Source organism: Homo sapiens, chromosome 1, assembly GCF_000001405.40.
Source record: "Homo sapiens chromosome 1, GRCh38.p14 Primary Assembly".
NCBI classification, from domain to species: domain Eukaryota; kingdom Metazoa; phylum Chordata; class Mammalia; order Primates; family Hominidae; genus Homo; species Homo sapiens.
Genome location: NC_000001.11, coordinates 228309080 through 228324249, shown reverse-complemented (window position 1 = coordinate 228324249; position 15170 = coordinate 228309080). Strand labels below are relative to the sequence as shown.

The 15170-nt window shown below is 56.0% G+C and overlaps 1 protein-coding gene across 4 annotated transcripts in view, besides 1 other annotated feature; it reads right to left on the bottom strand.

Annotated features, from left to right (window-relative positions):
- The window catches only part of OBSCN (obscurin, cytoskeletal calmodulin and titin-interacting RhoGEF), a 170833-nt gene that overhangs the window by 54627 nt on the left and 101036 nt on the right, over positions 1-15170 (bottom strand). For all 4 annotated transcript variants that reach the window (NM_001386125.1, NM_001271223.3, NM_052843.4 and 1 more), the window contains 9 exons: positions 14955-15151; positions 14691-14766; positions 8131-8403; positions 7266-7541; positions 6499-6786; positions 6077-6358; positions 4996-5366; positions 2036-2906; positions 644-922 (listed from right to left, as the gene is read on the bottom strand). In NM_001386125.1, the coding sequence (NP_001373054.1) occupies positions 644-922; positions 2036-2906; positions 4996-5366; positions 6077-6358; positions 6499-6786; positions 7266-7541; positions 8131-8403; positions 14691-14766; positions 14955-15151 (2913 nt within the window). The remainder of the gene's footprint in view (positions 1-643; positions 923-2035; positions 2907-4995; positions 5367-6076; positions 6359-6498; positions 6787-7265; positions 7542-8130; positions 8404-14690; positions 14767-14954; positions 15152-15170) is intronic.
- Positions 8057-8931: an enhancer, noted in NCBI's record as "H3K4me1 hESC enhancer chr1:228503020-228503894 (GRCh37/hg19 assembly coordinates)". NCBI's record gives its function as "activates a minimal SCP1, AML or CMV promoter by ChIP-STARR-seq in naive H9 embryonic stem cells {active_cell/tissue: H9 hESC(naive)}" and the evidence as "EXISTENCE:reporter gene assay evidence [ECO:0000049][PMID:30033119]".

Here is a 15170-nt window from a genome sequence, read left to right as displayed (position 1 = left end):
GCATCCCCACCCTCCCGAGAGGATGGAGGTAGTGCTGACAGTTTTGGGCTTCTAATAAAGGCTTGGTCTTTCTGGAAACCACCCCTCATCCTGAAGTTAACTAGGGGCCCACCAAGAGTCACCTTATTAGAACAAAAGATGCTCCTATCACCCAGGAAATTCCAAGGGATTTAGAAGCTCTGTGTCAGGAACTGAGGACAAAGGTCAAATAAATATTTCTCATAATGCCACAGTGCCACAAACCATTCACCATGCCCTTGAGCTTCTCCTGAGAGGCTTCCTGATCAAGCCATCTGACAGCCTTCAAAAGGGACCTCAAGGGAGTGGTTGGGGTAGGCTGGACTCACCCTTCTTGACCCCCTCACCTTACTCCATGAGGTCCACTTCCAAATCTTCCTGAGCCTCTGTCCCAGCCAGGATGCCTCTCACAGAGATGAGATCCCTCAACCCCTTACCCCAAGGGGCTCCAGACTAGGGGCGTGTCTTGGCCCTAGCTCCCAGACAGCTTTCCATCAGCCACAAGACAGTGAGGCCCCAAATCCTGCCTGGGCTGAGACGAATGCTCTCTGAACTATCCTCAAGACCAACTCAGGAGCCCCTACACCACCCACCCTGGAGACACCAAACCAGACGCAGTACTCACAGTCCACACGGAGCTCAGCCTTGGTGGAGGAGACACCCATGCTGTTCTCGGCCAGGCAGCGGTAGACGCCCATGTCTGCTGGCACCACGGCTGTGATGATGAGCTGATGGCCACCCTGTTGGTCTTCATTAATCATGTAGTGATCATCCTCCTCCAACAACTTCCCATCCTTGAACCAGCGCACACTGGGCATGGGCTGACCTGTCACCACGCAGTCAAAGCTCACAGGATACCCATCCTGCACTTCTTGGTTCTGCAACTCAGTCAGGAACACTGGGGCTGGGATAGATGGGTGAGTTAGCCCCAGGGAACAATGATCACGTCCGGCTGCCACATACATGCAAGTTGCCACCAGATGAATGGTTTGACACATATGATGTACGGAACAATCATTCATATGGGAGCATTCACAGACACTGACAGCTAAACAGAATGGTATCTTTGCCTACTAAGCCTCTCTCTCTTCCTTGTTCTCTAAGAATTCTGTTTGCCAGCTTGGTTCCCAAGCTACTTTGAGGCAAAAGGGATAAAGGGCTGGAAACAGGGAGGAAAAGGGAGGTAAAGCAAAGATAAAGACTGTGTGGCCTGTAAGTCCAGGAGGAGCAGGTGAGGGATTTGAAGCAAGGGAGAGGCTCAAAATTGGAGAGAAGTTTCAAGAAGTAACACTGTGGGTCATTCATCATACCCTCTTTAACATTCCTAGAGAGACACAAGTAAATAAGGAAATGGCTTTTTAATTACTCCTAGATGCTGGAATGGGAAATGGTATGCAGACTGGACCATGAGGAGTGCAGCATTTTATACAGGTTACATTTCAGAGTCTCATTTTTAAAAAATTCTAGAGAGTGAATACAAACGACCTTTGAACAACATGCATTTGAACTGCATGGGTCCACTTATATGTGGATATTTTTCAACCAAATGTGGATCAAAGAATACAGCATCTGTGGGATGCAAAACCCTGTATAGGGAGGGCTGACTTTTCATATATATAGGTTCTGCAGGGCTGATTTGGGGATTGAGTATGTGTGGATTTGGGTACACATGAGGGTTCTGAAATCCATCCTCTGTGTATACCAAGGTACAACTGCATTCCCATTCTCATTTCACAGATGTGAAAGCTGAGGTACAGAGATGCTAAGCAGCTTCCCCCAAAGCACATAGCTAGTAAGAGACAGGGTTGGAGTTCAAATTCAGCTCTATTTAACCTCAAAGTCAGGGCTTTTCACACCTCAGTGGGCTGCACCTGCGAAGAGCCCAGTGGTGGGCACAGGTAACCCCTTGAGCTTGCAGCAGACTCTAGCTACGACTAGCCTGGATCCTTCTCCCCTGCCTCTCCCTGCCTCTGCACCCTGGCTCGTGACCCCAGACCAAGGCTGTGTGCAGACTCACCAGCGTCAGAAGTCAGTAGGCTGGGCAATGGCTCTGGAGGCACCACAGGGGCAGGAGTCTCTTTGCTGATGCACATCTCTACCCTCCGAGGCCCCTGTTCCACCAGCTTGATCTCCACCCCAATGCCCAGTGTGGCAAACATCTCCTGGAAGCGAGTTACCGCCTGGCGGGCCTCAGTGAGCGCCTCAAAACGGATGCAGATGAAATGCTCATCTTCGCGGTATGTCTGCCAGTCCGCGGGCTCCTCTGGCTCTGCAGGGCCCTCGTCTGCACTCAGGAAGAGCTCCTCATCTGAAACTTCAGCCGGACTTTTGGTGCGGAAGAGCCGGTGCAGCCGACGGGCAGCCCGGCGGAAGGCATCGTCCAGCTCACCCCCAGAGGAGCTCTCGGCTTCACTCTCTGACCCACTGACCACCACACAGGCACTGTGGGTCACCTGGCCAAACTTGTTGCTCACCTGACAGGTGTAGCAGCCAGCATCAGCACGGTCCAGGCCAGTGATCAGCAGAGAGCAGGTGCCATCCCCAAGCTGGTCGATGTGATGGTGCCGCCCATCGGTCAGCTCCACACCATCCTTCAGCCAGCGGGCTCGCACATCTGCCTTGCTGGCCACGACACACTCCAGCCGCAGGGCATCCCCCACCTGTGCCTCGGTGTCCCCAAATGTGTGGGAGAACATGGGCCCTTCCTGCTGCTTCATCTCCTTCCGGACCTTGTAGCCCTTAAAGGCAGCCTGGATCTTCACAGCTGCCTTGTCCATTGAGGGATCACCCAGGTCTTTGGTGCTCAGGTCTCCCAGTGGTGGGCGCACAGCAGCCAGTGGCTCCTGCTGCTGCTGTGGCTTCACAGAGGGGGCTGCTGGGGCCCCAACCTGTGGGCACAGAGCCTGACGTCATGGTGAGATAGGGAATCTGAGGCCAGGAACAGGGCACAACAGGTGTCAAGCACATGGCAGGGGCAGCTCCAGGTCTTGCTCCAGTATGCCCTTTTTCCTCCTACCAATTGGACCCACTCTAGCTTCAACTGACCTAGATGTCTGACAGCACCTTCCAAAAAGCAAGCCCACTTCCTGGAAATCGCTTTACACAGTAACTCAGACCAGGATGAACAGGGTTGTGAAGAACACCATAAAGAGACCAGTTCCAACTTTTCAGGCAAAAGTTTTAACTGTCAGATGTGTATATGAATGGATGGATGCAGGGTGGATGGAGAGATACATCGATGAATGGATGGTTGAATGGGAGAACAGGTGTATGGATGGCTGCATGGATGAGTGAGTGGGTGGGTGACTGGTGGATAAGTGAATGGTTAGACAGATGGTGGTATGGAAACAGGCTGACAGATAAACAGACAAACAGGTGAGCAAGTACAGGAATAGATCATGGACAAATGGTGGATGGATGGGTGAATGAGTAGGTGGATGGATGATAAACAGCAGATGGATGGAGTTGTATGGTTGTATAGGTGGGTAAACAGGCTGACAGATAAATGAATGAACAGGTGAACAGGTGCAGGAGTGGCAGATGGATAGTAGATGGATGGATGAATGGAATGGAATGGAAGGATGGTGGGTGGATGGTAGATGGATGAATAACAGGATGGTGAGTAGATACATGAATGGATAGTGGGTAGATGGATGCATGTCAGATAGGAGGATGGGTGAATAGATGAAAACAAGGACGGACGGAAGCATACATGGACAAATGGAAGGATGGTAGATGGATGATGAATGGATACAAGCATGGATGGAAGAATTACGGAAAGATGGCAGAATGGTGAATAGATGATAGATGGATGAGTATGTAGATGGCAGATGGGTGGATGGATGACTAGATGGAAGGAGGAATGTGTGCATGGATGGATAGATGGTGGATGGATAGATGGATAGATGGAAGAAAGGAAAGAAAGATGAACATATGGATGAATAGATGGCAGATGAATAGATGAAAGGAAACAAAGATGGACACATAAATAAATGGGTGGATGAAAAGAAGAAAGAATGAATGCATGAATGGATGAACGAATGAAAGGAAGAATGGATACATGGATGGATGGATAGATAGAAGAATAGACAGATGCATGGATTGAAGGATGGATGGTGGACAGACAGAAGAGAATAAATGCATGCACTGATGGATGGATCATGTATGGATGGATAGAAGGATGGATGAATGGATGGATGGATGGATGGTAGATGGATGATGCATAAACAGATGAAAGTAAGCAAAGACAGATGTATAAATGGATTGATTAGGTAGAAGGATGGAAGGATGGAAAAACGGTTGCCTGAAGAGATGGATGGCAGTTGGATGAATTAAAGGATGGGTGGATGCATGCATGGATGGATGCATAGATGGATGGATGGTGGATGGGTGGATGGGTGGATGGAAGGAAGGATGGATGGATGGATGCATAGATGGGTAGATGAGTGGTTTAGATGGATGGATGCATGAATGAATGGATGAATGGTGGATGGATGCATGCATGGATGGGTGGATGGCAGGTGGATGGATGCATGGATGGATGGATGAATGGTGGACGGATGCATGGATGGATGGATAGATGAATGGTGGATGGATGGATGAACGATGGCTAGAAAGATGCATTCATGGATGGATGGATGAATGGTGGATGGATGGATGGATGCATGGATGGGTGGATGAATGGTGGATGGATGCATGAATGGATGGATAGATGAATGGTGTATGGATGAATGGATGGACAGAAAGATGCATGGATGGATACATGGAAGGAAGAAAGGAAAGATGGACGAATGGATGCATGGATAGATGGATGAATGGCAGATGAGTGGATGAATGGAAGAAAAGATGGATAGATGAGTAGATGCACAGATGGGTGGATGAATGGCAAATGGATGAATAGTGGATGGAGGGATGGATGGATGGATAGATGATGAAGGTCTCAGACCTCTCCTTGCAGGCCAAGTTGGGGGGGCTCACCTTGCTGGCCAGTGGTGAGGTGCCTGGCCTCCCAGCCTTCTTGAGGTAGGTGACCAGGGAAGGGGTGCCTGCCCGGGACTCATCATCAGAGCTGGTGTGTGAGAGGTCAGCATCTCCAGTGCGGGCCAGCTCATCGGCCGTGGAGTAGCCTTCAGAGAGATCAGGTGCCACCTCCTCTGCCTCCTGTGGCAGGCGCTGCGAGCGGCCGTCCTCCTCTGGCAGCTCGCTAATGGAGTCCAGCGTGGGCTCACGGCTCATGCGACGTTTCCGAGCCAGGGCCTCCCACAGTAGGTGCAGGTCACCCTCCTGGGCTGCCTCGGGGGGCAAGCTGGGCTGAGGGGCCTCATCCACAGAGGCTGGGCTCAGTGCCACTGAGGAAGGCAAAAGACTAGTCAGTGGGCTAGTTCAGAGCCATCACCCCAGACCTCAGCTGCTTATCAGTATGCAGCTGGGCTGTGGCCTTGCTAGGCCTCTCTCCCCACCTGGCACTAGCTACTTCAGATGGCACAATCTTTGCAAGTCTCAGAGCCCCTGAGCCTCAGCTCCCCCACTTTGAGTGAGGCCTCAGTCTACCTCCCTGCATAGGGTATGTGATGACCGGAACAGGAAAGGACTCTGCAAAAGCAAATTGGGCTGATTTGAGCCCTTCTGGCCCTGCTTCTGGGATAGAGCGCCTAGACTTATGGGGGTGCTGGCTGCCATGCAGGGAGGATTAGGCTCAGAGTTCAGGGAACAGGCCTCAGAGTGTGGGAGGGATCAGAGCACCGGGGGTTTCAGGGGGTTCAGAGTACAGGGGATGTCTGTGTGCAGGGGCCCAGAAGCTTAAAGGGACCAGAATAGGAGAACCAAGGGCTGCACCACCCAGGACCTGCTCAGGGACAGGCAGGTTGGCCTACGCCATCAAGGCTCTGCAACATGGGGTTTGCCGCATCTCCCTGTGGAGCCTCAGTCTCTCCCATGTGATGGGGTCCTCAAAAGGACCCTCAGCCCTTCCCTGAGAGAGCCTGTGAGAGGAAGGCCAAGCTGCACCCCCACACCAGAGCTCCCCACCCTGGAACCTGGAAGGACAGGGACAACGCACCCTGGAAGGTGGCAGCCGCAGGGCAGATGGAGCCCTGAGCCAGGCCACAGTGGTACTCGCCCTGGTCTTCTGCCGTGAAGCCCTTGATCACCAGCATCTGTTGCCGACCCTGGGAGACCACCTCGAACCGCCCACCGGGCTGGATGCGCTCCATTCCCTTGTGCCAGATGACCTCACCAGCCTCAGCCACCACCTCAAGCTCCAGAGAGACATCTTCACCAGCTGCCACCTGCCGGCTCTCAGGGGCTGAGGGCTGGGGAGGCACAGGCTTCGGTGGCTCTGCTGGGGAACAGCGTCCACGGACAGAGGACAGGCCCCATCAGCAAAGATGCACCCAGGGTGCAGGCCCCACTCCCGGGGATCCCTCCCTCCTCCAGCTTGTGGGGGCTGTGAACTCCCCAGACCCCAATGAAGCAACTCACCAAGCCGCACTGTCTGGGGCAGGTGAACCGGTTCCCCAGCACCCACAGGGCCCACAGCTGCCACACGGAAGCGGTAGGTCTCCCCGGGGGCCAGGCCATCCACCACACACTCGGGTCCAGGCACCAGCTCGTGGCACAGCCGCCACTGGCCTGTGGCCCCCTCCTTCACCTCCACGCGGTAGCCACAGAGACCACCGCCTCCATCACTCATGGGAGCTGCCCAAGACAGTGTCACAGTGTGGCTGCTGCGAGCCACCACCTCAGCATCCTCTGGGGGATCAGGGAGGCCTGGGGAAAAGGGGGACTGGTCAGGGGGGTGGCTCCCTGTCGGCACCAACAGTCCCTCTGGAAGCCACTGGGCTCTGATACTGGCTGCAGGTGCATGTCACATGGAGACTATATGTGCCCAGAGCCCACCCAGCATGGAGAGCCCCTGGCAGTCTCTGTACCTCCTGTCTCCCCAGAGCTGGGCTCAGATCTGCATTAGGAGTCCGGGGAGCTGAGGGGGAGATGGGGCAGGATGAAGGGACCTTGGCCTTAGGAATCCACAGGGTGGTAGGCTCATGCATGGTTATGCCTGGCCAAGAGCAGCCTCCCAGACTCCCATGGTCAGGCCCATATCCGCAGGCAGTCAACCCCAGGCTCTGGAGTGGGCAGATGCTGCAGAACCCAGCCCAGGATGGTCACCCACGCACTCGCAAGCTCTGGAGGCGGGGCGCGCCCCAGACCCGACCTGCAGGGGAGGGAAAAGCTCGCCCACCACCCACCCAGCACGGTGAGCCGCGCAGAGGCCACGGCGTCGCGGCAAGCGAAGGTGACCTCCCCGGCGTGGTGGGGCTGGGCGCTGCGCAGCAGTAGGGCGTGGTGACTGCCGTCGGCGGTGACAGTCCAGTCGCTGTCATCCGGCTGCACTGCCGCGCCATTGATGTACCAGGACGCCTCTCCCACGGGCACCGCCTCGCTGAGCGTGCAGGTGAAGCATGCCTGTGCGCCGGCCCGGACCGCCGCGTTTTTCAGAGGCTCCAGGATCTCCAGGCGCCAGCCTGCAGATGTGCCCAAGGAAGGGTTGTGAGGGCAAGCGCCGGAGCAGGGAGGGCCTGGGCTTCATACCCTCGCTTCGTCCCACCTGCGTGGGTGGGAGGGGTCTGGGAGGCCGAAGCTCCCCACCTGCGGCCCCAGCAAGCCCCTCTCCAGAAGACAGCCCAGCCTCCTGCGAGAGACACCTCTCATCTGGCCCCCAGTCCTGCCTGCCTTCAACCCAGCCTCCTGTGGGTCCCAGAGACCAACAGGTCCCCCTCCTGGCTCCGGAGAGCCTCTGGTCTCAGCGCACGGCGCCCCACACCGTTCCACCCTTCCTGGGCCTCGGCCCCGGGGGCTTCTACCCACTGCGAAGCGGGTGGCTCCCGGCCTCAGGTGGGATGGGCCGGCCCCTGGCGAACCCTGCCCCTTGTGCCGCTCCCAGGGCCTCAGCCCCTCTGCAGCTCCGGCGGCCCAGCCTCCTGCGGGAGGGTCTCGGAGACTGACGTCCCCTCTGCAGCTGCAGCCCGCAGCCCCGCCCCCTCTGCCGCCCGCCTACCCCAGTCTCTAGTGGGAAGGATCTGACCCCACCCTGCACCAGCACAGCGCAGTCACCTCGGACCGTGAGGAATGCGGACGTCACCATATCCCCAGCCAGGAAGGTCACCCGGCAGCTGTCTTGTGGCCGCAAGTTTTTGAGCAGCAGCAGGTGGCGCAGGCCGTTCTCGAAGAAGACCACCTCGGCGTTCTCCGAGGTGTGCACGGGTTCGTCGTCCAGCAGCCAGGTGTGGGCGGCCACCTCGGGCTGGGACAGCTGGCACTCGAACAGCGCCTCGCCGCCCTCCAGCGCCTCCACATTCTCCAGCCCCCGCACCACCGTGTTCTTGGCTGTGGGGAGAGGGAGGATCAGACCATGCCCGCGCTTCCAGGGTCCCCACGTCCCTTGGGAGTGCCCTGAAAACTACAAAGAGCCAAACAAAATGCCCCCTCCCCAGAAGCTATGTGGAGGTGGGCACTCAGCGTCCAGGGTGGAGCCACCCATGCTTGCCTCTGTGGTCACCCAGCACCCCCCACCACCACCACTATGCCCTGCCCACTTTGGCACTGGGCTTCTGACCTCACAGGTGAGAAACCTCACAGGTGTTCACAAGACTAGAAACTCGCCAACCGCACAACCAGGCTCAAACACAGCCATGAGGCTCAGAGCCATGCTTTACCCGCCATGGCCCTGCTGCAGCTTCACGGTCTGGGAACATCCCCCTTTCTCTGCACCCCCCAACAGAGCTACCAGACCTGCTGCCTGGTCCCTGGAATGCCATGCTCAGACTCACAACAACCAGAGACCTCCTCCCTAATCCACTGCCCTCCGCTCTCCCCTCCCTTTCTCATTCTCTTGTGGGTTCACGTGTAGGAGTCTTGAATTTGGCCACACATTCTTCATGGAAGCCACAAGTTCAGCAGCTGTGCATGCCGTGCCTACTCACAGCTCAGCTCCTGGTGCAGCGAGCTTGCCACCTACGGGGCCTGTTCCCACCTGTCCGAGCCACCTGTGTCCCAGCGCCACCGGACACTGCCTGCCATTCCACTATCACTGCACAGCCCAAGCTGTGCCAAAGCTGCCCCGGGCCTAGGGCTGCTCACCAGGCGGCCTCACCTTGCACTTGCAGCAGGGCCACTACGCGGGTGCCCGCAGCCTCACAAGAATAGATGCCACTGTCACAGGGCAAGGCCGGCCTGAAGGTCAGCCTGGCCACGTTCCAGTCCTGCTCTATGATGACACGGTGCCCATCCGTGTGCACCTCCCGCTCGTCCATCTTCCACGTGGCCTGCACGGGCCGTGAATACTGGCAGAGGAGCTCAGCCGAGCCACCCTCCTCCACGGCCAAGTCCTGCATGGCACTGACCACCTCCACCACGGGATCTGTCGGCCAACATGCCGGACACATGTCAGCCCCCGGAGCTGAGCCACCGCAGCCATCCCACCCTCTGCTGTCAGTGTTAGAGGCTTCAGCGGCAGTAAGCGCAGAGCTGTGGCAGGCAATGGCAGAGCAGTGACCATCTGGCACATGGCCCAGGGAAGGGGGCCCACCACGACAGCCCAGGGCTATCCACTGCAGACACACCTCACCCCCACCCATGGGAGATAGCACTGTCAGGCTTGGTCTCTTTTCAGGGGGGCCCCTCCTGGTCCCCTTTGCCCCTACCTCCCTCTAGCCCTGGGCACATGGCCCCAACAGGGACACACACCCTCCAAAGTCCCCCTACCCCATGCCCTCTGGCCCTGGCTCAGGAGCCAGAGCCCCAGCCCAGCTCGCCCCTTCTGCAAGGACTCTGCCATCTCTCTTGGGGTCCCCGTCCCATCTCCACTGTCCAAATCCTACTCCATAAATGGCTGTTTGCCCCAGGACCCAGGTGAACCTTCCACATTTTCTTTGAGGGCGCACAGGGGACAAAGGCACCATGTGAGTCACTGGTAGGGGGCTCCCATACGGCCAGCTCTTTCCCAGAAGGGCAGAAACCCAGCCTGAGCCCACAGCGGAGGAAGCAGGTGACAGCAGGGGTAGGCTCAGCAGGGGCTGCTCTTGCCTTCACAAGGGACTGGGTTTCATGGCTGGGCACGTGCGGCCAGCAAGGTGGTAGCCAGCAGGGCACAGGTTGGTGTCCAGCTATACCACTCCCTAAGCCCAGACTTCTCATCCACCCTCCATGCCCACCTGTGCCACTGCAGGCAGACAGCATGCATAGAGTGGTGCCCACTCTGTGGCCCTGGGGGCCAATTCCTGATCCCAGGAGCCCGCAGGAAGCATACAAAAGTGCCAGCATGGCAGAGGTTCCCATCGGCCAATACCTTTGATCAACAACTTGGCCGTGGAGACCAGGGGCCCTGCGCGGAAGATGACAGTGCCGGAGTCGGCCACCCCCAGGCCCGAGAGCATGAGGGAGTGAAAGATCCCATCTCGCACAGCGATGGCGCTCTGGGGGCCATCCTGTAGCAGGGTCCCATCCAGCCACCAGCGGGCCTCCGGCCCACCCGCGTGAGACACCTCACAGGAGAACGTGGCCACCTCCCCCGCGAAGACATCCACATTCTGCAAGCCACGTACCAGGCACGGCACTGCCTCTGCACAAGAGGGTAAGAAGGAGGGCGAGGCTGGGACACCCTGGAGTCCACAGGACTGGGCTACTTTAGGGTTCACTGGTGTGGGGGTGTGGCACAAGAATAGATTGTGTCTCTGCTCCTAAAGCCCTCAGAAATTCCTGAGTGTTCATAATGTACTCCTTTGACTACATCTCAGTTTATGCTAATGAGGTCACTCAGGTAGGGGTCCTGGACAACATCAGAATGGGCCTCTAGAAAGGCCAAGTGTTCAGAGGGTTGGAATTTTCCCACCCTCCCACCTCTAGGAAGGGGAGAGGGGAACAGAGATTATGCTCTATAAAAGCTCTTAAATGAGATTTGATGAGTTCCCAGGTTGGTGAAGATATGCAAGTGCTGGGAGCATGGCACGCCCAGAGAGGACATGGAAGGTCTATGCCCACCCCCACCCCCATCCTTTGCCCTTTAAATCTTTTCCACATGGCTATTCCTGAGCTGTATCCTTTATAACAGCTGCTCAATACAAGTATTTCTATGAATTCTGGGAGCTGTCTTAGCAAGTTAATCAAACTCAAGGAGGGGTAGTGGGAACCCCATTTCATAGCTGTTCAGTCAGAAGTGTGGGTGGCTTGGGACTTCCCACTGGCATCTGAAGTGGGGCAGTCTTGTGGGACTGAGCTCTTCATCTATGAAATCTGACTCTAACTCCACATAGAAAGTATCAGAATTGAATTGAAGTGTGGACAGCCAGTTGCTGTCTGCTAGAGAATTGCTTGGTGTTTGGCCCCCACACATCTGGTCACAGAGTGTTCTGTGCTGTGAGAGTATAATAGGAGAAAAACAGTGAGTGTGTTGTTCTCTAGAATTGGTGTCAGAAGTGGGACTTGGCCAGGCACCATGGCTCATGTCTGTAATCCCAGCACTTTGGGAGGTCAAGGTGGGAGGACTGTTTGAGCCCAGGAGTTCAAGACCAGCCTGGGCAACATAGTGAGACCCTGTGGAGGCATGTGCCTGTAATCCCAGCTACTTGCAAAGCTGCGGTGGGAGGATCGCTTGAGCCCAGGGGGTGGAGGCTACACTGACCTATGTTCACATCACTGCATTCCAGCCTAGGCAGCAGGAGACCCTGTCCCCTCACCCCCACCAAAAGTGGGACTTGCTAGAATAGCCTCGGGGCTAGTAACTGGTACAGGGGCCACCCTCGGGTCTGCCAGAGCAGACATCACCCAGACCAGGAGGGTGACCTAGGGTTAGGGAATAGAAATCCACCCAGGCAAGTTGGCCCACCCTGATCACAGAGGGAGACACAGAGGCCACCCACAGTGAGCCTGTGGAGAGTGGCTCAGCCCCAGCTCATAGACCCGCACCCCCACACACCCCTTCAGAACATGCCTGGTTTCACCCACAGGAGGCTGATGACAGGCACACGTGCCCTTCTCAGAAGGCAGAATGGACAAGCTCTAAGCCCCATGGCTGGAGTTCTTTCTGGCCTTTGGTGCCTTATCTGACCCAATGTGGGTTGGGAAGGAGAAGCCACAGGGCCTGCTACTGTGAGTGGATGGGAGTTCACCTCAGAAAGTGAGTTCCCTGTCCCTGGGGGTGTGGAAGCGGACGCTTCTCCCATCCCAAGAGGGCATTCTGTCCAGATGTCCTCCAAGGTCCCTTCAGCCCAGAATTCCAGGGCCCTTATGTTGAGTGGCAACTGCTCCCTGCCTGGTCACACAGCAGGGCCCAAACTCAAGGAGCTTCCCAGACATGTTTGTGGTCACTGCCTGCCCTGTGCCTTCCACACTCTCCTCCTCCCTCCCACCCACTTCTCAGATGGAAACTCAGGGTGGTCACGGCAGATAGGAGAATGTGCCCAGGCTACTGCTGCCCACAGAGTTGAACCCCACACCCCACAGGCAAGGGAGGAAGACAGAACCAAAGGCTTATTCCACCACCTGCTGCCTGGGATCGGGCAACAGAGATGCCCTCCATCCTTGCTTGCCCAAGAAACTTTCTGAGACCATCCTGTGAGCCTCCTCACAAAGAGAGAGAAACTGCAGTTGGCAAAGCCCAGACACTTCCATCCTATGGGGTGAGGAAGCGTGAGTAGGGAGAACTTACAGAGATACCAGCCACCCATCAGGACAACACCAGGCAAATCAGCCCCTGTGCCCACCCAAGCAGGCCCTCCACTGGAAGCCTCTCCGTGCGCTTCCTCGTGTGCACCACTGACACCCCAGCACCAGCTCCCAATCTTCCCTTGACTGTCTTCCCCAAGTGCACATCTGACCACCTCCTCATCTTGCCCCACCAACTCTTCATTCTTGTCTCCAGCAAGTTCCCAAGCTCTTCCACCACAACACCTACCTGGGCCTGGGATGGGCACCCATTTACACACCTGTGCCAGGGCCCTCACCAAAAGGTCATAGCCAGGTGTCTGTACATGAGCCAGCTCACCCAGGCTGAGAATACCTCACCTAGAGAGGGGCCAAAGCACAGCCCAGCTCCATGCTGCTCCATACAGTTGCCCACTCTGATGAATACACCAGGCCCCTGCTATCCTGCCCCTGCTCAGGACACCTGGGAAACTTCCCGTCTTCATCACTCAACTTGAGGGCACTAGCATCTGGAACCTTTCCCAAACCCACAGGCAACAGAACTGACTGCATCTGTCTCCTTTTAAGGACTTGGGAGTGGGAGGTGGCATCTAGGATGAAGGACACACTATCTCCATGTCCAACTCCTCCAACAGATTGGAGACCCCCTGAAGGCAGACTGCATCTGGCCCATCATGAGGTTCAGGACTTGGTTAAGGGTAGGAGCTTAGAGGGTATATTCTACAGTGAATGAATGGATAGCAAGTGGATTGTGAATGTATGACAGATGGTGGATAGGTGGTGGATGAATGAAAAGATAGGTGAATAGTGGATGAGTGAGTGATGAATACATGAGTGGATGGGGGAAGGGTAGATGATGGTAGATGGATGGATGGGTGGATGGTAGATGAATGGAAGGATGGGTGAATGGACAGTGGATGGATAGATGGATAGTAAATGGATGGATAGCGGATGGATCAGTGGGTGGGTGGATGGATGGTGGGTGTGTGAATGGATAATGAATAGATGAGTGGATGATGTATAAATGATGTATGGATGGTGAATGTGTGAATGGGCCGATGGATGGATATATGGATGAACAGCAGGATGGATAGATGAATAGTAAATGGATGGATGGTGGATGAGTGGATGGTGAATGGATGGATGGTGGATGGTGAATGGATGGATGGTAGCTGTATGGATGATAAATGGATGAATGGATGGATTATGAATGGATTGATGGACAGACGATAGAAGGATGGATGATAGATGAATGGACAGATGATGGATGGATGGATGGATGGATGGTGGATAGCAGATGGGTGGAAGGTGGATAGGTAAATGGATAAATGGATGAATGAATAGATGGATGATGAGTACACAGATGGGACCCGTTTGAGACCTAAAGGTAGGACAGTAGGGGAAGAGCACTCAAGAACTAGCACTCAGGGATGACCAGCTCTGGGGGCAAGGTATGAGCCAAGCTGAAGGTTCCTAAAATCTTGTTTGCATGGTTGCCCAAATCCATATACTTGTCATAGGCATGCTTTTGCATCTGCACCTTTGAGCCTGTCCAGGCATGCAGATGTGTATAAACATGGATGCTTTGGCATGTGCGTGCATCCATATCATAGGAGTAGGCGTTTGGAGGGTGGAAGTCAGGAAGGTCCTGCCTCCACCTTAGGGCCCAAGCCTATGGCAGCTGGGCCCCCCATCTCCCTCCCGCAGGTGGCATTAATCCTGGACAGGGACCCTACACACACCCTGGAATTTCTCAAGACTACTTCTACCAGCCTACCCCCCAGTGACCTCTCTGGTCCATGGCTTCAGTGGCCAGGGGTTGGAAAATTGCCAGCCCCAAGACAAGATCACTGTTGGAAGTCTTGGGTTTCTGCCCCCTGCCCGCTGACAGCTGCCACTGGGTAGGTTGTGCTGGTGCCCAGGAAACTGGGCATCTGCAGGCAGAGCGACCAGTGTGGAAAGGGGCTGCCCACCTGTGACTTTCAGCTGGGCCTCAGAGCTACACGTGCCCACGTGGAAACTGACAGTTCCAGCATCCTCAAGGGTCACCTAGGAAGCAGGGAGAGACATGCTTGGCCCTGGGAGCCCCCATCCCGACCAGAAGGAGCCCAGTCAGCTTGCCAGACCTCAATGACAGGAGCTCATCACCTCCCCAGCACAACCCCCTTGTGGAAGGCCTTTCTGAATGGAGTTGGAAGCATCCCCATCCTGGTACACTCAGGTCCCAGAGGCCTCACCTTGTGCAGGGTGAGCAGGTGGAGTGTGCCCTGCTCCACAGTGATGTCATTCATCTCGTTGGCCTGCAGGGGCACCCCTCCTAAAGCCCAGCGGGCCTCCTGGCCTGAAGCTCTGGATAGCCGGCACTGGAAGCTGGCATCCTGGCCCTCACTGAGCTGCACGTCCTGCAGGGGCTCCAGGATGGTCACCTCAGGAGCTGGACACAGGGGAGGCAT